This window comes from Homo sapiens, chromosome 4, assembly GCF_000001405.40.
Source record: "Homo sapiens chromosome 4, GRCh38.p14 Primary Assembly".
Lineage (NCBI taxonomy): Eukaryota > Metazoa > Chordata > Mammalia > Primates > Hominidae > Homo > Homo sapiens.
In genome coordinates this window covers 124,283,488-124,307,357 of record NC_000004.12, presented here as the reverse complement: position 1 = coordinate 124,307,357, position 23,870 = coordinate 124,283,488, and the positions used below count along the sequence as shown (strand labels likewise).

At 36.8% G+C, this 23,870-nt stretch overlaps 1 long non-coding RNA gene across 3 annotated transcripts in view; it reads right to left on the bottom strand.

The window, feature by feature from the left end:
- LOC105377406 (uncharacterized) overlaps window positions 1–23,870 on the bottom strand; it is a 129,167-nt gene that overhangs the window by 6,362 nt on the left and 98,935 nt on the right. The window lies entirely within an intron of this gene.

Sequence of the window (23,870 nt, the reverse complement as noted above, 5' to 3'; positions counted from 1 at the left end):
ATGTGCCTTTGAGTTCTCTGCTACTAAATCTAGGAGACATCAGGAAGAGCAAGATTTTCGATGCAGCTATACAGTCTTCTTTTAGAGTGATGGTTCTCAAAGTGTGGTACCTAGACAAGCAGTGTCAGCCCCATCACTGAAAGAGATCAGAAACAATGGGGGTAGGTGCCCAGCAAGCTGTGTTTTAACAAGTCCTCTGGGTGATTCCGATGCTTAATAAAGTTTTAATAACTATTAATTCTAAGTTAATAATTACTGAGAAATTCTTAGTAGGCAGGCTCCTCTTCTATAATTTGTTCCATATTCTCTCAGTCCTAAATGAACCAGCTCAGCTTCCCTTGGAAGTGATTGCATCTGAGTCTGCATCCTCCATGGGGATTGAGATGGAAAAGATCAGAGTCAGGAAGGAGTACCAAGATGCAGCTGAGGTAAAATGCTGTAATGCAGGAAGGATGATCAGGTTCTAAAATGATGGCCCCTGTGGAAATCCTTGTATTGAAACAGCCATGAATTTCACAACAGTGCATTTCAGAAACAGAGATGAGACAGGAAAGAAACTGGTGCTCGCAGAGGAGTAGTAGCTAAGTATTAATTAATTAGGTCAAGGTGTACTGTTCCCAAGGCCAGCTAGGATGCTTTCCAAAATGGTGGTCTAGTTGTCAGTCTCCAGAGTTTAACCCACGCTTACAAAGGGAACTGTGAGACTTTAACTTTCAGTGCCTGTCTTCTAGATTATTTTCAAACCCTCCCTTCCCACTCTGCCAGGCATACTTTGCCTTTGTTTACTTTCTAAACACTTCTACAGAAGAGTTTGAGTTATGTAATTTCTCTGTCTGAAAGCTTGCAGTGCTCTTGTTTTCTCACCAGCTATTAATATGTACATTCTTGCTAACTTGACATCTGAGGCCTTCTAAAATGAATGTCAATTACCCTTCCAATGTAACCTATAACTGCTTCCCAACATGCATCCTGTATTCACTAAGTTGGATAGTTTACCCTTCCTTGAATACTCTCAATAACCTCTCTATTGTTATTCTGCCTGATTCTGTTCCCTCCAATTCTCTTCTAGATGCCTGCCACATAATACTTTTTGTGGGATGTGGTCTCACTCTCTCACTTGGACCTGTCTAATTCTCTTTGTATTTACTCTACAACTCCTTGTTACAAATTCTACTTATTTGTTCATAAAGTGGTAACTACAGCATGATGGGAATTGCACATCAAGTTATTCAACACATAAAAATTGGGATTATAGAATCTACTTCAAAGACCTTTTCAAATATACTAATGAATGAATGCAATTTTATTGTTTATTAACTTTTAATAGTATTATTCACATAAATATAAGGACAATAATGTAGAAAGTATTCAAAACATAAATTCCAAAAATAATTATTGACAACTAAGTCTCTGTCAAGACATCTAAGATGTCTCTGTCATCACTGAATTCAGATTCTAGTTAGGAGAAATAGAGTAGATTTACGATGTTCCTAACACAAAGAAATGATAATGCTTGAGGTGTTGGACACCCCAGTTACCCTAATTTGATCATTACGCATTGTGTGCTTGTATAAAAATATCACACGTACTTCGTAAATATGCACAATGATTATGTATCCGTAACTAAACATTAAAAAATCAAAAAGAATAATTTTACAGAATGAGAATATATTAAGAAAATAGAACAAAATGATGAAAATCAGTGTGATTTTACAGGAGAGATACTTAAAGCTAGTTTTTCAAGCAAGGTCTCTCTTCAGTGATTTACTCATTCATTTGTTTGTTCATTTATTCAGTGATATATTCATTCATTTATTATGTTTATAGTAGTAAATATTATGTAAAAATAAATCATGGAAATGTATAAAGAATGACTGGTAAAGGTGGGCATTTTTATTTTAGATGAAGTGGTTGGGGATATCCTTCAGAGAGGCAATTATGGTAGCAGGCACCTGAATAATAAGCAGGAGTCAGCACGGATAATTTGGTAAAAGATGTTACAGTGAGCGGACATCTAAAAATAAAGAAAATTACCACAAAGATCAGGAAGTCTTCTAAGGAAATCTGCTTAAGAAATGTTCCTACCCAGCTGGGCAGGCTTTTAGACATTTTGGCTCAGTATCCATGTCCAAAGTTGTGCAGGCTTAAGCAAAACAACCCTCTCAGATTCGGGGGGTTTTGCTTGCCACATGTTGATGGTCAGAGGATGTGAGCGTGGGAAAGTTTCCCGAGTAAGAACACTGTGTGGTAACTGATGAATTCTGCTTCTGATGTGAGTGGATGCTTCCTTGACTTTGTGAGCTTTAAACTGATGCCAAAATCATCAAACTGCATGTATTTCTTTCTATTTTCTCTCCATTTTCCTTGTCTGCCAATGTTGAGAACATTCACATACATCATTTAACTAGACAAACAGGCCCAACAGTAGCCTGTTCTCTGTTACTCCTGTGACCAGATAATTTTCTTATTTGAGTTTCCTAAGTTATTCCCCAGTAAGAAGACACTATGTACTGCAGGCGAGAAGTGTTGGCTCACGCCTGTAATCCCTGCACTTTGGGAGGCCGAGGCGGGCAGATCACCTGAGGTCAGCAGATCAAGACCAGCCTGACCAACATGGTGAAACCCCGTCTCCACTAAAAATACAAAAATTAGCTGGGCGTGGTGGCGGGCGCCTGTAATCCCAGCTACTCAGGAGGCTGAGGCAGGAGAATCACTTGAACCCGGAGGCAGAGGTTGCAGTGAGCCGAGATAGCGCCACTGCACTCCAGCCTGGGCGACAGAGTGAGACTCTGTCTAAAAAAAAAAAAAGAAGACACTATGTACTCTAGAAAATGATCCTTTACAAAGGAATTTTAGTTTTTAGCTCTAATAAATTTAATTGAGATGAAAATAATGCTTCACTATGTTTTACACAGTGAGATCAAGAAATTGACATTTTACAGCAAAGTAAATGTCAGTTAAAATGCTATGGTATCAAATAATTCTTTTCCCATTTTAAAGTGAAAACATATAGGACAGATGTCCATTCTTGATATTTTGAAAGAAAAAAATCAGAAAAGAAAAATAAAAAAAACACTTTTAATTCTACTTAACATTCATTCATTGTGTAAGCAAATAGTATTTCAAAATATCTATATATAAATGTAAGTTTGTGCCCCCAAATGTTGATCCATCTCTCCTTCACTCTCAATTTATTTGTAAAGCAATAAAATTGCTAAAAAACTGCTGCTGCCAATACCAGTTCTCTGTTGGCAAATTTGATGTTATACTTTAAAAATAAGTGAAGAAGCAGCCAACTGAACTGGCAATAAAGCACTCAATAAATAGTTGCTCAAAGAATGACTGACTGACCAAAGCATTAACCACTGGACATTGGACCTTTTTTTCTGTCCCTCCAACACTTTGACCACACACAAATCTCTGGATAAGACTCTTCTGGCACAAATTTTTGGGTAAACCTCATCACATTAAAAGGCAGGAAAGGGGGTTTTTAGACCTACCTCTGCTACAGCAACTTGCACAGTCTTAGATAAGCTCAACCATTTTTGAACTCTATTTTAATGATTTTTAACAAGACGGCATGGTCTAAATGACATCCTGGTTCTCTGTGGTTTTAACATTCTGAGCTCGTTTTCCCTGGCCTGTTTGCATGCAGCTCTCCCTCATTGTGGCTGATTTATGAGGCACATTTACCTTTTCTTCATTTCCCTTCATTTCCAGGGTATTTGTAAATATAGAGGAACGAGCCCAAGGGAAGGAACTGGAGAGGAGAGGAGGGAGAAGAGATGACTCTGAAAGCAAAGTTACACACCTTTCACCACAACACTTAGGAGAAAAAAATTTGCTCTATAGTTTCCATTAAGTTTGAACGTGCAGGCAGGAAAGTATCTTCAGGTGAGAGTATTTAAAGAGGAACTGCTGCGTTCCTCCTACACTTTTAGAAGATTTCTTCAGGCTAACTGTGCAAAGCTCAAAACGTGTTGAAAGCTGCAACCAACAAAGGTTAAGGGTTTTTTTTTTTTTTTTTGAGAGAGCAATATAAAATCTAGAGAGGTTCAGTTTAGGCATCTATCCCAGAATGTAAATGTCTTTCTTTGGTGATACAGAAACAAATACAGCCCAGTGTTTTGAAGATTTTACGTTCATAGTTGGAATATTTAAGGTAAGCCTATAGGTCCATTATGTGTAAATATGAATCTTAATTATTTATTTATTTAGAGACGGAATTTCACTCTTCTTGCCCAGGCTGGAGTGCAATGGCGCGATCTCGGCTCACAGCAACCTCTTCCTCCTAGGTTCAAGCAATTCTCCTGCCTCAGCCTCCCAAGTAGCTGGGATTACAGGCATGCGTTACCACACCCGGCTAATTTTGTGTTTTAGTAGGGATGGGGTTTCTCCATGTTGGTCAGGCTAGTCTCAAACTCCCGACCTCAGGTGATCCGCCCGCCTCAGCCGGCCTTCCGAAGTGCTGGGATAACAGGTGTGAGCCACCGCACCTGCCATGATTATCAACCTTTAGCTGTAGGACTGATTAATGTGTAGTATCTTTTTCAATGAGTGAAAATAGATGCCCTCCTACCATCAGGAGTCTGGTGGGAATTAACTCTACTTAAGACCAGAATGGATCATTTACAATTTTGAGTTAATTTACTGCATTTAATAAAGTCAATTATAATGAATTGAGACAGAGGGTTTGGGGATTCTTAAAGGTTTTGGCCTGTATTCTTCGCACATATCAAATGTGTTCTCTATTTGAAAAAAAAAAATGTTTGCACATGGGTTTTTTTTTTAAAGAACATTTCATACCTGTAATAAAATGAAAAACCTATTGGATATTTGATGAGCTCTATAGCCTATATAATTATAGGAACTCTACACAGATCCATTTTAATTTATACCTCAGAATAGTGAAGAATTGCTAAGAGAAGACATCCACAGCATTAGGACTAGTTTTTCTTAGAGATGAATGGGCATTGCTCTAGGGATAAGATGGTATGCTGGGTTATAACATTTTGGGAAAATGGAAGAAGGTTTGGGGGACAGACTTCCATTATTAGCTTATTGCTCCTAAATTCTTCCTTAGCACAATGAGAATATATAGAGCGTGCTTTGGAAAGGTAGCAGAGTATACCTCCGAAATTCACTGACTTGTGAATCCACACAGGATCAACATGGGAAATCAGACATGGCATTATGTGTCACCCTGAATCACTTCTAAACATTATCAGTGAAGTGAAATGCCTACTTACTCATTACATTTCACCGCCTTAACATTTTCCTGAGAATCCGCGAGTCCCACAGTCTATATTCTTTGCTCTGACTCTACATGACAATAATTAACCCAGTCATAGTGGAGCATTCAGTTTTTCCTCCCTGCCCAACAAGTGAAACAGAATATCAATAGTAGAGTTATTAAATACAGCCCAAGGCAGGACATTTTGGCTGGCAATGTCAGATACCAAACATCCACTTCATAATTTTACTGGTACCAATCGCCTGTAGGTATTGTTGAGGTAGCCATGGTGAAGTAACCATAGTAAAGTAACCGATACTCATTCATTTGTTAATTAAGATTAAAAGTATAGCTCTTTATGCTTCATGAAAAGATAGTTTCACAACTCTGAGTTTATAAGAAATTCAATTCCTTTGGGGTAGAAATGTATTAGAACATAAGTCAATTTTTGTAGAAATCTTTTCAGGAGATCTAATTCAATCTATTCTGAACCTCAATATGGTATCTTCTTATTAGCCATAGAATTTATAAAAATAAATTGGAAGCTTTTGTCTTTAGTTATGGTTATATTTAATAACATCTTGTAACAATAGACATCTTTTGCTTCCAGAAAAAAACTTCAGTAACTTTTGAGCTTTTGCTTTTTCTATTTCAGTTTTATAATAGAATTTGTATGTAAAAACCATAAAACCTAACATAAATCAGGAAAAGGAAGAAAATAAAATCCTCCCTTGACTTTATGTTTCATTAGAGGGAAAACTAGATCACAGATATAGAGTCACACATACTAAAAAAAGTTACTGAAAATATATAATATTGACAGCAAGATGCAGAAGGGCCTCAATATTTAAGGCATGACTATTTATTAAAGTCTCCTTATATGAGTGCCTCCAGTGAGTATGAGGCCTGCAATTGTAACACATATCCCATTTTATTGTAATGTTTTTGTTATGTGAAGTTTCATGCTGACAACTTACTTGCAACCTTAAACTGAAGAACCCACACCAGAGCCCCAGCTCCCATAATAGAAATGTATTGGCAAAGGAGAAATTTGAAATACTATTGTCTGACCTCTTCATTTTACAGATATGGAGGTGAATACTCAGAGAAGTGAAATGAATTTCTATTACTCAAGTAATTCACTGATTTAACAAATATTTATTGAGTAAATTGTGTATGTAAGTCTTTGTGCCAGGAAGTTAAGTTAGAAAAATGAATAAGATAATATTTAAAGTAGAGACCCCTATACTGAACACTAAACTAATTGGGGTAAGAGTGAGGACAATAATAATTTCTAGGATAGAGGTAGGATACCTAGCCAGCTTGACATAATCAAGAAAAGCTGAGCAATCTGAGATGGGACAGGGAGCATAAGCAGGGATTAGCCTGGTGAATACAAGAGAAAAAGCATTCGGAGAGAGAGAGCACTATGAGCAATGGCATGATGTTAGAAACAGCATGCTTCCATGATTTTGATGCTTTGACTGAGTGGGTTTGCTTTAAGAAGGAAAAATGGCCAATTTTATAAAAATTCTACAGGTAGCTGCAAAAGAAGAGGCTGCTAAAAGAAGCATCATGTGATAATGAGAAATATTCTCAGAAGCTGTACATTTTCTGATTTGGTAGATAATTTTTTTTTTTTTTTTTTTTTTTAGATAAAGTCTTGCTTTGTCACCCAGGCTGGAGTGCAGTGGCACGATCTCGGCTCACTGCAACCTCCGCCTCCCATATTCAAGCAATTCTCCTGCCTCAGCCTCCTGAGCCGCTGGGACTGCAGGCACACACCACCACACCCATCTAATTTTTGTATTTTTAGTAGAGATGGGGTTTCAGCATATTGGCCAGGCTGGTCTCAAACTCCTGACCTTGTGATCTGCCCACCTCAGCCCCCCAAAGTGCTGTGATTACAGGCATGAGCCACCGCACCTGGCCTATATTTTTCTTTTTCAAATAACTCGTAAAATGTTTTCAGTGATCCACTTACCCTCACTATTTGCATTAGTTTTTCCACTCCCCATTCTTCTGGTGGAAGAAAGTCACTTGTAATCACTTTTAACTTTCTCTCCTCTTCTCTACTTCCCCAATCCACAGAGACTTGAAGCAGTTTTTAAAGAAAACACTTCAAATCCATTATTTCTCTTTAAAAGTTTGGAACTAGTTTGGAAATTCTTCTATCAGCCCAAATAATCAAATCTGAACAATGTCAGCACTCCAGAATTTGGAACATGTAAGAACAGAGCTTAGCATTACTTTACCTCATTCCAGTCAGGCTAGAGTAGCTACTTACTTCCCTAAGGAGACTATTGTTGAGTGATGGGTACATATGAATGGGATCTGGACATAGGTAGAAAGAACAGTTTTCATCATAAAGGATTCTGGCTTTTAATGTGCCTGATATAAGATTTTTGGAGCAAAGGCCCATGGAAGTAATTTCCTTCTTATGACCCTCCCCTAGAGTTTAAGATTTCCCAGGTGTATGGCTATTAAGACATGGATTTTAGTGTTGAAAGAAAGTACTTATGGCCTAGTTAGTAGGAAACATTGAAGCTGCCACTTAGGAGCAAACCCACTTAGTCATTCCTGCTTTTTGGTAGTGAACAATGAGGAATTAAGCACATGTAGTTTCTAGTATAAGGGCCTTTGCTGTATTTTTCATGATATTTTACAGCTCACTTTGAAGAACCATCACATTTAGTGCAGCTGGAGATCCATTGGCCTTCTATTATAATAATAATATCTATTATTTCTATTAAATTGGATTTTAAGTCACATTTAAAAGCAGGGCGTCTATTTATTTATCCATGGATCACATTAAAGTCTACGAGAGACATTACAGCAAAGATGTTAATAATGTTGGAATCAGAAAAACTTGAGAATGTTTTTTCTCTTAGTCACTTACTAACTCTATAACAATGTTTAAATTAATTAGACTATGTCAAGTTTGGTATGTAGGTTATACTAAATATACATAATTCTCTAGACAACTTTTCTCATTCTAGATATGTTATATTTGCTTTATATTTTGAAACCACATAATTAAGTACAAACAAAATTAGAATAGCAGCCAGACCATGTGGCTCATGCTTGTAATCTTAGCACTTTGCAGGGCCAAGGCCAGAGGATCACTTAAGGCCGGGAATTCAAGACCAGCTTGGGCAACATAGGGAAACCCTGTCTCTATGAAAAATAAAAAATATTAGCAAAATGCAATGGTGCTAACAGGTAGTCCTAGCTATTTGGGAGGCTGAGGTGGGGGCGTCAGTTAGGTCCAGGAGTTTGGGGCAACAGTAAGCCGTGATCACGCAACTGCACTCCAGCCTGGGTGACAGAGCCAGACTCTGTCTCAAAAATAAAAACAAAAACAAAATTGGAATAGTTATATCTACTTGATAAATTAATTAGCATAATACAGTGATGTATTTTTCATGTGATAATGCCTTATGCCTTAAAGTATGCTTTCTCTGATGTTAATATACTATTTTTTTTTTAATTATACTTTTAAGTTTTAGGGTACATGTGCACAACGTGCAGATTAGTTACATATGTATACCTGTGCCATGTTGCTGTGCTGCACCCATTAACTTGTCATTGAACATTAGGTATATCTCCTAATGCTATCCCTCCCCACTCCCCCCACCCCACAACAGGCCCCGGTGTGTGATGTTCCCGTTCCTGTGTCCATGTGTTCTCATTGTTCAATTCCCACCTATGAGTGAGAACATGCAGTGTTTGTTTTTTTGTCCTTGCAATAGTTTGCTGAGAATGATGGTTTCCAGCTTCATCCATGTCCCTACAAAGGACATGAACTCATCATTTTTTATGGCTGCATAGTATTCCATGGTGTATATGTGCCACATTTTCTTAACCCAGTCTATTGTTGTTGGACATTTGGGTTGGTTCCAAGTTTTTGCTATTGTGAATAGTGCTGCAATAAACATACGTGTGCATGTGTCTTTATAGCAGCATGATTTATAGTCCTTTGGGTATATACCCAGTAATGGGATGGCTGGGTCAAATGGTATTTCCAGTTCTAGATCCCTGAGGAATTGCCACACCAACTTCCACAATGGTTGAACTAGTTTACAGTCCCACCAACAGTGTAAAAGTGTTCCTATTTCTCCACATCCTCTCCAGCACCTGTTGTTTTCTGACTTTTTAATGATCACCATTCTAACTGGTGTGAGATGGTATCTCATTGTGGTTTTGATTTGCATTTCTCTGATGGCCAGTGTTGATGAGCATTTTTTCATGTGTCTTTTGGCTGCATAAATGTCTTCTTTTGAGATGTGTCTGTTCATATCCTTCACCCACTCTTTGATGGGGTTGTTTTTTTCTTGTAAATTTGTTTGAGTTCATTGTAGATTCTGGATATTAGCCCTTTGTCAGATGAGTAGCTTGCAATACTATTATGATTTTCTTTTTTAGTGTTTGCATAATAACTGTTTTGATCTTTTTATTTTCAAACTTTATGTCCTTACTTTGGAACACTAACTCCAAACTTAAACACTATTATGTATTTTTATTACACATGAAATGTGTTTCTTCATCTTCTAAGATATTATTTTCATTGTTCTGTATATCAAAAATGTATTTATATTTACCCACATAATTAATATTTTGGTTCACTTTTATCTTTCCTGCATCTTCATCTATTTGTTTTGAATAATATTTCATTCATTTGAAGAATATCTGCTGCTTAAAACTTGTTCAACATTTGTTTAAAATGTGTTTCACTCTCATTCTAGATGGATATTTTTGTTGAGTGTACATCTACATTTTGTTCTTTTTTTAAGATATTTTTCTTTTTTTTTCTTTCATAGCTGAACTGTGTGTGCCTGGGTGGATTAATTTTTTGAAAAGAAATTTTCTGCTTGGGATTATCAGGCTTATTGAATCTGTCACTTAATAAATATATTTCACAATTTCTCAAAATTGCCCATACATAATATCTTACAAGGTTACTTTTGTCCCATCTTTCCCTCTCCTCCTTTCAAAAAGATGTGTATTTTAGGTTTTTCAATGTATTTATCTATATTTCACCCTCTTTTTGGTCTTTTTCATCTTTTGTATTTCCACGCTTAATTGTAGATATTTTCTTCTGATTTACTTTTCATATCATTAATTTTCTCTTCACCTGAAGAGAAGCATCTGACCTGTTATTAAACCTCCCTATTTTATTTTATAGTAAGACTATTGTAATTTTTAGTTTGAGAACATATATTTGGTTCAATTTCCAATCTGCTATATCACCCTTTTATAATTTCCGGATACCTGCTGATAATTTCAAGCTTTGGTTCTATTTCTTTGGACACAGAAAGTATAATTCTTATAGCATGTATCTAATAATGCCATTATCTGTAGTCTCTAGAAGTTTTTATTGGAAAATATAATGCCTGTCTTCCCAAATAGTGCTCTTACAAAATTCTCTAGTGCTGCTGATTCTTCTGGCTTTTGCTTTGTTTGATTCCTGTCCCTTCATGTGCCTGGTTATCTTGGATTTTGTGCTGCATATTATGTTTAAATTTTATTTGTAGAATCTCTTTTCTAAAAACTATAAAAATTTGTGAAAGAAAATAAAGAAGTCTAAATAAATGGAGAGATATGCCATGTTTGTAGATTTGAACATGAAATAACAGTTACAAAGACAATTCTCTGAAAGTTAATCTATAGATTTAATGTAATCCCAATAAAAATCCTAGAAGTCTTTATATTTTGGTCAACATTGCTAGTAAATTATAAAATTTATGTAGAAATGCAAAGAAACTGGAAAGCAAAAGCAATATTTTCAAAGAACAAAGTTGAAGGAGTTTCTCTACCTTACTTCAAGACTTACTATAAAGCTATACTAATTAAGACAGTTGGGTTTGTTGAAATTATAGACATATGGATTGATGGAATAGAACAGAAAGTCTATAAATAGACCTAAACTTTTACTTCATATTGCGTACCAAAATCAACTCAAAATGGATCATAGATCTAAATAGAACAAGTGAAACTGTAAAACTTTGAGAAGAAAATATGAGAGGAACTCTTTGGGACTTTGGTGTAAAGTCTCTTAGATAGAACTAAAAAAAGGATACACCATCCAAAAATGAAAAATTGGACTTCAAAATTCAAATAACAGAAACACAAACTTTTGCTCTTTCAAAGACACCATTAAGAAAATGAAAAGGCAAGCCATAAGTGGGACGATCATGTTCACAGCATGCATATCTAATAAAGAAATATGTAAAGAATTCTTGCCACACAATAGGAAGAATACAAACAACCCAATCTTAAAATGGCTATAATTTCAAAACAGATTATAGGGAATGGGAGTGAAGACAAATTTAAAAACCACCCAAGTATAATGATGTCTTAGTCAGTTTGGGGTGTTATAACAAAATACCATAGACTGGTGGCTTATAAACAAAAAACAAAGCAAAACTTTTGTCTCACAATTCTATAGGCTGGAAGTCCCACAACCAGGGTGCCAGCATGGTTGGGTTTCGGTCCTCTTATGGTTTGCAGACTACTATCTTCTTTTCATGTCCTCACATGGCACAAGAGCAAGAGAGCTCTCTAGAGCACCTCTTATAAGGCACTAATCCCATTCACAAAGGCTCCACTCTCATGACCTAATTACCTTCCAAAGACCACCACCTCTTAGTTCCATCCTATTGGGGGTTAGGATTTCAACACATAAATTTTGAGGGACACAAACATTCAGTCCATTTCATTACTCCTCTGCTCCCCCACAAATTTGTGTCTTTCTCACATGCAAAATGCATTCATTTCAACCCAACAGCCCCCAAAGCATTAACTCATTCCAGTATCAACTCCAAAAACTAAGGTCCAAAGTCTTATCTAGATATCATCTACATCAAATATGAGGGAGGCACAAGTTATGATTTATCATTAAATTTCTCTTTAACTATGAACATGTGAAACAAAACAGTTACGTGCTTCCAAAATGCATTGGTCAGACAAGCATAAGATAAACATTCCCACTCCAAATACAGAAATAGGAAAGAAGGAAGAGGTGAAGGGTATCAAGTAAGTTCAAAACCCATCAGGGCTCAAGAATTAAACCTTAAGGTTCAAAATAATCCTCTGGCTAACTTCTCTGCCCTCCAGACCCCCTAGAGCAGTGGCCCCATTTCCACAGCTCTGCTGAGCAAGACTCATGTGTTCATGGCTCTTCTGGGCTAGAATCACATGCTGGTGACTCTGCTGGTCTTGGGTCATAGCACCATGACTCTGGGTGGTGACCTTGCCCCCTGGCTCTATTGGGCACAGCCCATGCAACAGCTGTGGCATGGAAGCCCATACCTAAGGCATTGAGTGTGAGCATTCTGGCCCACCTGAATCAGAGAGGATGCCCAAGCCTTTGAAATTGCTCTGTGCCTCTGGCCCTTGCACTCTGAGCCTGTGGTGAAGGAGGCAGCCCTGATTATCTCTGAATCACCTTGTGGGGTAAGTGGTATCATCCTTCTTTATTTTCAAGAACAATGCTTGGCTCCTGTTGAGAGGGCTATTTAGGTTTGTGGTTGAAATGGTCACTTGGCCATACTCCTAATCGTCTCTTCTCAACACACTTTCTCAGTGTTTTCAAAGTGGATAGGCTGAGAATTTTCCAAATCTTTAAATTCTACTTCCTTCTCAACATTTCTGTCTTAAAAGCATTTCTTTCTTCTCACACTTAACTATAATCAGGCAAGAGTAACCAAATTGCTCCTTCAATGCTTTGCTTAGACATTTCCTCGGTTAAATATCCAATTTGGTTGCAAGTTCTACCTTCCACAAAACAGTAGAACACAAACACAAGTCAGTTAATTTTTTTTGCTGCTTATTAATAACAAGGATCTCCTTTTCTCTATTGTCCCATGACATGCTCCTCATTTCCATCTGAAGTCTCAGCAGAATGGCCTTACCATCCATATTTTAGCCAACATTCTATTCATGTTACTTAGGTGTTCTCTAAGAAGATAAGCTTTCTCTATAGTTCTACCCTTTTCTTTCTGACAAGATTCACCTTTAAAATTTTGTTCATGGCTATATCGGATTTGTCTAGCATACACCTGAAAACTCTTACAGCCTCTACCCATTACCCATTACCACAGCTGCTTCCATATTTTTAGCAATTTGTTATAGCAGGACTCCCACTTTTTGATATTAATATCTGTCTTTATTAAATTACAATTTCAATAGTTCAGTAATAAGTAACAAGTTTTTGAATTGGGCAGTTAAGAAATACTAGAAATAAAAAAGCATGTTGAAGTATTTGCTGTGGTAAAGAATCAGGTTTGGCTTCCTGTATCATGACTTTAAGACTGGACATAGAACCAATGAGTAGAAAAGCCATATACTGGGATAGAGTGGAGGAAAGGAAAATAAGTTGAATTTTGAATATAGAGGCTTTAGGTACCTAATGCAACATTTACTGATTCTTCCTAGGGAGACTAGTTGGTGATTACTAAAAGGGATTTTTCAGAAAAACTAGAGAAAAACATGAATAGATGGTGTAAGGAAGTCAAGGAAGGAAGAAATGATCAGTAATGTAAAAAATGTTAAACACAGTGTTAATTCTATTTCTACAATAAAGAATAATTATAGAAATGTATTAATAATTTTAAGTATTTCAAATCCCATTGACATTTAGCTAGAATGCATTTAGTTAGAAATGAAATGGTTCATGTTTTGAGTAGCAAGTTTCCATTTTTAAGTTATTTATAAGTCATATGAAAACTAATCACTATATTTGACAGTCTATGGTTACTTGTATGGGATGAATTTCAATCGAGTGGAAGAACCAGAAATAAAACTGTGGCAGGTTTTGTGAATAAGATATGAAGAGACAGAAACAAGAAATATACATATACACTATTCTTTCAATGACATTGATTATAAGTGAGTTACAAAATGAATAAATTCAGTTTCTCTAGTAAGAGGTTATGAAGAAGATATTACAAGGAAAGACATCAGTATAAAACAGTGCTACAGAGATTGATAGGTCGCATAAAGAGAAGGGAGCTGATTATATTATGCTTGTGAATCTAAATCTGAAGATCCTCTTAGTGAGATTTGTCTCAGCAGCATACATTAACAATGAAAGTAGAAACAGAAGTTTAAAATCCACCAGAAATTCTCAGGCTGAGGCTTCAGACTCCCCTTTCTTTGATTTCCAGTGAACTCGAGATGAAAAGTAGAACAGATCTAAGCAGCTTTAAAGTGATGACTGGGGATTTATTTTTAAAAGAGTTGGGTATTAAATTTAAATAGCTCATTTAGGTGTTGATGCCTCCTGGAAATTTTCAAGATAACTATCCAACTTGTAACTTAATTACATAAATAATGATAATTATTTGACTTCCTTCATTATATTCTTAATTATAGAAATACAATTGACACTTTTATATATTTCAAATACCCTTGACATTTAGTTAGAATGCATTTAGTTAGAAATGGAATGGTTAATGTTTTTAGTAGCAAGTCTCCAATTTTTAGGTTATTTATAGGTAATATGGAAAATTTGTAATTATACACTAAGCTTTAAATTTTGTTTAGATATTCTTATTAGCTGTGTAAAAGCAAATAATGACCTAGTCCATTTTATTTAAATACTATATTTCTTGTGATTAAATAGTTTAAAAAGAAAAGAACACAAAGAAAATTTTGCAAGATAAGTAACAATTTCAGAGATTTGAAACAGACCTCTAATCTACTTCTTTATTTTGTATGTAATGAACCTAAGATCAAAAAATGTAAGATAAACCTTCAAAGTCTCCATAACCAATTATAGAAGGGAATGTCACATGAGAAATTCAAACACAGATCTTCAAAATCATGCTCTTTTTCTCAAATGTTAGATACTACTGATAGTTTATTTTTATTTTTGAGATGGAGTCTCAATGGTTTTTTTTTTAATTACATGTGTTACCAAGAACAGAATTATGATTTAGCCCCTGTATTAGTCCATTTTGCATTGCTATAAAGGAATACCTGAGACTGGGTAATTTATAAAGAAAAGAGATATAATTGGCTCCTGGTTCTGCAGGCTGTACAAGCATGTACAGCCTCTTCTGGTGAGGCCTCTGGAAGCTTTTACTCATGGTAGAAGGCAAAGGGAGAGCAAGCATGTCACATGGCAAGAGAGGGAGCGGGGAAACAGGAGGAGGTCCCAGGCTTTAAACAACCAGCTCTCACGTGAACTAACAGAGTGAGAACTCGCTTATCACCAAGATGATGGCACCAAGCCATTCATGAGAGATCTGCCCCATGACCCAAATGCCTTCCACTAGGTTCCACCTCCAACAGTGGGGATCACATTTCAATATGAGATCTGGAGGGTACAAATACCCAAACCACATCAGCCCCCATCCATTAAATAACATGAAACTCTCTAGACCTCACTCCATTAATTTGGAGAGCTATAAACAAATATATTGGAAGGATAAATTAATATAAGAGCATATTTCTCTATGAATCACCTGAAGAGAAGAGAAATATATAAATTACTTTGAGATTATTCAGCTAGTTTCTCAACTTTATCATGAAGTAGAAATATGCCATCAGCAACATCCTTAAGTGTTTGTCTGAAGCAAATCACAAATAGTTGCACTAAGGTGACCATCAGTATTAACTCCCCACATCCATCACACACTACCTGATTCTTCTGTTAGGCACAGTAGTTTTTTTGTTTTTGTTTTGTTTTGTTTTTGAGACGGAGTCTTCCTCTGTCGCCCAGGCTGGAGCGCAGTGGCGCGATCTCGGCTCACTGCAAGCTCCGCCACCCGGGTTCACGCCATTCTCCTGCCTCAGCCTCCCGAGTAGCTGGGACTACAGGCGCCCGCCACGACGCCCGGCTAATTTTTTGTATTTTTTTAGTAGGGACGGGGTTTCACTGTGTTAGCCAGGATGGTCTTGATCTCCTGACCTTGTGATCCGCCCGCCTCGGCCTCCCAAAGTGCTGGGATTACAGGCATGAGCCTCCGCGCCCGGCCGTTTTTTGTTTAACTTAAAATTAGCTCAACAATAAGAATGGAAAGTCTAGACCAAAGTGAATTAAAAAGAAAAAAAAGGAGAGACATGATTTTTTTTTCTTAAGATTGAACCACAGGAGGAGACTTGCAACCTCACGTAGAATTGCTCTTTGACACAATCTTACAACTATGAGGTAGACCAATATTGCTACCTATAAATGTCTGGATGGCAGAGAAGAGGAGGAGATAGAGCCTGGGTACTGGCTGACATTGTTGAGCAAATAAATGAATCACCCAACCCTGAAACCTGCCCTGCCCTAGTTGTCAAGCTGGATGAGCTAATAGGTATCCTGCTGCATAGGTTGGTTTGATACAGATTTTTAGTTACCAAAGCTAAAAATATCAAAGTAATCTGATTCCTTTTTCTCTTAACATCCTTATCTTACTGAATTGTTAATTTTAAAAAATATATCATGGGAAGTTATAATGGGGAGTGGAAAATGAATGAATGCCACAGAATGTCAGATAAAAGATGTAAGTATAAGGGATAGGATGGGCAGTTGTAGAAGGAAAATGAATAAAAGGGAAGAAGAGTTGTGGTCACACAACTGGCTCTAGTGTATCAGTCTAATAGTAGGGAGATGATTAAATTGAGATGAACTTCCTGGATCATTTTTAGCACTGTAACAGCAATAATGTCTCTGGAAACAAGGAAGATTGGCATCAAATGCAAAATAGATTCCTGGACCGGACAGGGTCCTGGCAGGAAAGAGATGGCGTACTCCAAGGCTTTGGCAAAATAATTTAATCAAGGAATGATTTACCAAAGTGTGGGCAGCATTGATGGAACCTGCAAAGAATGGTTACCTAGAGATGAGTAACAGAGAGAGAACCATATCTAGATCTGCCAGGCAAGGAAATGGAATGGTGAAACTGGGGTTTTATAGAAGCTGAGTGGTGGAAGAGGGCTTTCCAACAAGATCTGTAGCTATGCACAGCCACTGCCAGAATCATGGCAAGGGAGGGAAAGAGTGGGCAAATAAATGCAGTGAACTTCCCACTCCTCTGACATCATTGTCTCTGCCAATGCCACACATAGACCAAAATCACTTAAAGCCCAAAGACTCCAGAGGTAGACAGTGCTTAGGGATCAATCCCCCAGGACACAGAGCAGTGAATTGATCTGGGATAGGGCAAACAGAGAATCATCAAATATATGATTTAATATATGACCAAGCATGGCCACTCTGACTTTCTATCGGTTAAAAAAGGTTCTTTAGGGTCTAGTTGTGTTCAGCATTCTGGATAACTCAGAGTTGGCTTTAAAATAAATGGAGAAGATTTGGGGGAAAAAAATCAAGAAGCTTTATCTAGTCCTCTGTGTTACACTGCACTCCTTATAGGGTGATTATGGAGCCATTCTATGGAGTCATTTGATGCTCTATTCCTGTAATTTGTCATTAAAATTTATGGGAATATGGTAGTAACTAAAACTTCAGGGTTTTCTTTTTTTGTTTATCAGTACCCTTTCTAATCATTGAAGCAATAATCTAGTTTAATAGTTAATTATTTAGGGAGAGGTCCTTAAAAACAACCCCTCAAACTCTCAAAAATCTCTTTAGAGGGCAAAAAATAAAAAATAAAGGAACAAATAAACCTCTGTCATGAATACATTTTAGTCTGCATATAACGATGTCAAAAATGTAGATTTCTTTGTTTTTTCATTACTCAAGTAAATTTATTTAAGTCCACATTTAGTTTGTTAACTGAAAAATTATACAATTTATAATTTTGGAAAGGAGACTTTATTTCTTATAAAGGGTTACAGCCTACAGGGTGCCCATTGTGACTGGCTGGGAAGTGCAGCCTCTGGTGGAAGCTCAGAAGCATGGACTTGGAAGGAGGGAGGGGTAAGACAGAAATTTAAGCTGAGCAGGAGCAGGTTGGCTAAACTTGTAGATATTCAACAGGTTGCAGTAGGAGCCATGAATATTTACAAAGGGGGTCCTGATGCATGTGTATTGAACAAATATGCATGTTACATATGACCCATGTTCACTTCAGGGTGGAGATTTAACATTTAAATGTCTTACAATTGGCCTTGTATGTCAAAGATCTTTTCAGAACATGAAGGCATTCAAGTGTACAGCCTCTGTAAACTGGCCAGAACCAGTCCACAGTTGGTGGTTTTTGAATCAGGAGAAAGTTACTAAAATCAGTCTCTTGTCCAATCAAAGCTGTAGTGATGGCTTGTGAAACAGGGGCTCAGCCAGCATCTGGCAGTGAGCTACAATTGCTTTACTATTGCTTATCTTGAGGCCAGTGCTTGTTTAGTTGCTAGAGTAAAAAAATACCTTGTGGAAGTTACAACATAGTTTATTCTTTAAGTGTAGGAGTATATAACTTAATCATTGCCTGGCATAGCCTTAGGTCTTATTTATAATTTGGCGTCTTACTGCCACAGTGTCTGTTCTGTCCATCCTATGATCTCTGTTTCAACGTTAATACTGATCAGTTGTTGTGTCTAAACTGAAAAAGGGAGGGAGTATAATGAGGCATTTCTGACCTCCCATCCTGTCATGGCCAAGAATCCAGTGTTCAAGGTTTCTCAGGGTCCCCTTGGCCAAGAGGGAGTTCAGTCAGTTGAGGGGCTTGGGATTTTATTTTTTGTTTATGAGCCTTATTGTACAAGTAAGTATCATTTAATCCTCTGAGATGTCAGAAAGGTAATTCCTTTCAATGTAGAGTCTCTCCCAATCTCTGTAAATTCTGGAGCCATTTTGGAGAGACAAGCACCAGGCTCTGTATGGCAGGACCTGACCCACACTGTATTTATCTGTGTTAAAATCAGCCTTAGCTAAGATGCACACTTTCTGCTAGCCCTCAGTCCTTGTTGTACTCAGTCTGTTGTTGCATTCTCCATACCGGGCGATACGGTATCTCTTCCGTTCCTTGAGTGCTCAGTGCCGTATTCATACTACTTTCAGACATGTAGGGAAATATGTTCATACCATGCTGAAGAACAGGAACCCTCTCTGAGGACCAACTACCTGACAAACCCCAAACTGTGGCTACACTACATACTTATATCACAGAACAAGATTAGGTACAGGGGAAACCTAGGAGAATTGCAGTCTTCCAAATGACATGGACCACAATGGGTATCCCTGTTCCTGGGCACCTAAATCAGTCTGGAGAGTCTACCTTCTGTACTTCTAAGATTCAGTCTTATTTACTATTGAAACTAGGTCGTTCAGAGAGTGAAAAGAAGCACTCTAAATAATGTACCAGCACAACAATTAAAAGCCAGGTCGTAAGGGACAAATGAGGACCTATGGTCGGTCATCTTATTACGCAGGGACACATTTGTATTTTCTCTTTTGGTTTATTTTATTTTATTTTTATTTATTTATTATTATTATACTTTAAGTTTTAGGGTACATGTGCACAATGTGCAGGTTAGTTACATATGTATACATGTGCCATGCTGGTGCGCTGCACCCACTAACTCATCATCTAGCATTAGGTGTATCTCCCAGTGCCTTCCCTCCCCCTTCCCCCACCCCACAACAGTCCCCAGAGTGTGATGTTCCCCTTCCTGTGTCCATGTGTTCTCATTGTTCAATTCCCACCTATGAGTGAGAATATGCAGTGTTTGGTTTTTTGTTCTTGCGATAGTTTACTGAGGCAGGAGAAGGAAATAAAGGGTATTCAATTAGGAAAAGAGGAAGTCAAATTGTCCCTGTTTGCAGACGACATGATTGTATATCTAGAAAACCCCATTGTCTCAGCCCAAAATCTCCTTGAGCTGATAAGCAACTTCAGCAAAGTCTTAGGATACAAAATCAATGTACAAAAATCACAAGCATTCTTATACACCAACAACAGACAAACAGAAAGCCAAATCATGAGTGAACTCCCATTCACAATTGCTTCAAAGAGAATAAAATACCTAGGAATCCAACTTACAAGGGATGTGCAGGACCTCTTCAAGGAGAACTACAAACCACTGCTCAATGAAATAAAAGAGGATACAAACAAATGGAAGAACATTATATGCTCATGGGTAGGAAGAATCAATATCATGAAAATGGCCATACTGCCCAAGGTAATTTACAGATTCAATGCCATCTCCATCAAGCTACCAATGACTTTCTTCACAGAATTGGAAAAAACTACTTTAAAGTTCATATGGAACCAAAAAAGAGCCCGCATCGCCATGTCAATCCTAAGCCAAAAGAACAAAGCTGGAGGCATCACACTACCTGACTTCAAACTATACTACAAGGCTACAGTAACCAAAACAGCATGGTACTGGTACCAAAACAGAGATATAGATCAATGGAACAGAACAGAGCCCTCAGAAATAACGCCACATATCTACAACTATCTGATCTTTGACAAACCTGAGAAAAACAAGCAATGGGGAAAGGATTCCCTATTTAATAAATGCTGCTGGGAAAACTGGCTAGCCATATGTAGAAAGCTGAAACTGGATCCCTTCCTTACACCTTATACAAAAATCAATTCAAGATGGATTAAAGACTTAAATGTTAGACCTAAAACCATAAAAACCCTAGAAGAAAACCTAGGCATTACCATTCAGGACATAGGCATGGGCAAGGACTTCATGTCTAAAACACCAAAAGCAATGGCAACAAAAGCCAAAATTGACAAATGGGATCTAATTAAACTAAAGATCTTCTGCACAGCAAAACAAACTACCATCATAGTGAACAGGCAACCTACAAAATGGGAGAAAATTTTCGCAACCTACTCATCCGACAAAGGGCTAATATCCAGAATCTACAATGAACTCCAACAAATTTACAAGATAAAAACAAACAACCCCATCAAAAAGTGGGTGAAGGACATGAACAGACACTTCTCAAAAGAAGACATTTATGCAGCCAAAAAACACATGAAAAAATGCTCATCATCACTGGCCATCAGAGAAATGCAAATCAAAACCACAATGAGATACCATCTCACACCAGTTAGAATGGCAATCATTAAAAAGTCAGGAAACAACAGGTGCTGGAGAGGATGTGGAGAAGTAGGAACACTTTTACACTGTTGGTGGGACTGTAAACTAGTTCAACCATTGTGGAAGTCAGTGTGGTGATTCCTCAGGGATCTAGAACTAGAAATACCATTTGACCCAGCCATCCAATTACTGGGTATATACCCAAAGGACTATAAATCATGCTGCTATAAAGACACATGCACACGTATGTTTACTGCGGCATTATTCACAATAGCAAAGACTTGGAACCAACCCAAATGTCCAACATTGATAGAGTGGATTAAGAAAATGTGGCACATATACACCATGGAATACTATGCAGCCATAAAAAATAATGAGTTCATGTCCTTTTGGTTTATTTTATAAGGAAAGAAGGAAAAACTAGCATGGGGTAATTGACTAAATGTGTAATTTACTAAATCTATTCTATATCCTACAATTTCAGATATTAACAAATAAAAAAAATACTTCGCTGTTTGTATCAGCCCTCCTCAGAGACATAAATCAGAATGCCCACCCAATGGATTTTGTAGAATAAAGAAGATCCATTAATATAAGTTACCACAATAAAAGTGAAATGAGCTTATATGTAAAAATTTTACTACAGATTTCCCAAATTTGCCATTAACCATTTTTATCCTTTCAAAGGGTCTGAATCAACTTCTCCCATTTTCTCTGTATCCCAGATAAGATTCATACACTGGATACTGAGATAGCTATGAATGAGAAAGGGAAGAGTAAATAGCAGAGAATCTTTTGTCACATTTGACTTTCTCTTCTACCTTAAAAAAAAAAAAAGCTGCAGATATTCATTATGTGTCTCTTTCTTGATTTTTATTTTAAACTTATATTCTAAAGTTCAGGATTGGAGGTTGCTTCAATGTCCTTGTGTTTAGTAGTATTCATACTACTATTATACTAATATTGCCTTATAATGTATTTTCTACTTGTTTTTAGTTCATTTTCACGAAAAAAAGAAATATGAAACATATAGTTATATGTAATATATGTAACATGCTATTTATAATATAAAAAGTATAAATGTGTTATGTAAAACATTAATCTTATTAATATTTATATCATATAAAATATTAATATACATTTATAGATATAAATATACATATAAAAATGATTTTTTATTTAAAATTTTTAGATTAAAATATACCAAATCTTTTGGCTTAATTATATCAATAAGCAGGAGTCATTCTTCACTAAACACTAACATCTAATTAGCATGAATTTTGAAAACCTTAATTTGTTTCGGCTCATTTTCAAATCTAAGGTTCCTCTTTCTACTTTATGACTCATTTCTATGACATGAAATTTATGTTAAAATCAGCACGGCCTGCGCAGTGGCTCACGCCTGTAATCCCAGCACTTTGGGAGGCCGAGTCAGACGGATCACGAGGTCAGGAGATCAAGACCATCCTGGCGAACAAGGTGAAACCCCGTTTCTACTAAAAATACAAAAAAATTAGCCGGGCGTCGTGGCGGGCGCCTGTAGTCCCAGCTACTCGGGAGGTTGAGGCAGGAGAATGGCGTGAACCCGGGAGGCAGAGCTTGCAGTGAGCCGAGATCGCGCCACTACACTCTAGACTGGGAGACAGAGCTAGACTCCATCTGAAAAAAATAAAATAAAATAAAATAAAATTGGCACGTGGTTTTGATTGGATTTCCTTCATTATGGCAGCAAAGAATAATTTAAATTCCAATAGGAGAAGAGATTCTATATACAATCCAAGAAAAAAAAAATCCGCATTTCAGAAATCTGGAGTAAGTTTACATTTCAATTATACCAAAGCAAGTATCTTTAGACTTTGGACTGATGAATTAAATTTGCCCTCTTCTTATTCCTTCAGAGGGGGACAAAATTAGATTTCAGTTATTTTGTAAAAGTGAAATAACATCTTAGAACAAATGAACAACAAACAAAACCCCGTCAAAGTCTGTGAATCATAAATTAATATAAAAAAATTAGCCTCAGGTCGGAACCAGGGCATACCCACACCTTCCTTCACATTTGTGACACAGAAACTCTACTCACCAACAGGGAAGACAACACGCAGCAACACAAGATAGTGGCCGAGCCCTTCTGCGTTTCTTTCAGAGTTTCTGAAATACTTGGTTCATGGTGCTATTACTAGTGCTACCGCAGTATATAATTATCATAGATGGAAAATTGTAAGGTGAAATTCCCTTCTAATGAAGAGTTATGTAATTAGGGGAATAAATAGAAATGCTACAAGGTAAAATATCTTTGATTAGTTAGAGGTTACTGCTTTATGCCTAGTCTGAAATTTTTTTTCTTTTTTCTCTGTTTCACTCCCTCATTACTTGTGGTTTCTCCTTTTACCTATATATAGATACCACTTTTAAAATTTATATACAAAAATAATCTGCCAGGCAAGAAAGAAAAGTACAAAGTTTGAAATTAATTGCTAGTGACAAATCTATAGATTTCATTTAAGCATCACTTTTCTATTTAATTTTACCGTAGATAAAAATTAAAATATAAGGGAATTACCAAAATAAAATTACCGTTGAGAACATTACAAGCTAAAAATATAGGTTATGTTAATGGTAATAATCAATCCAAAATATATTTTTATCCTCTAGTATGTGCAAGGTGCCTTGCACATATAATTTAGCC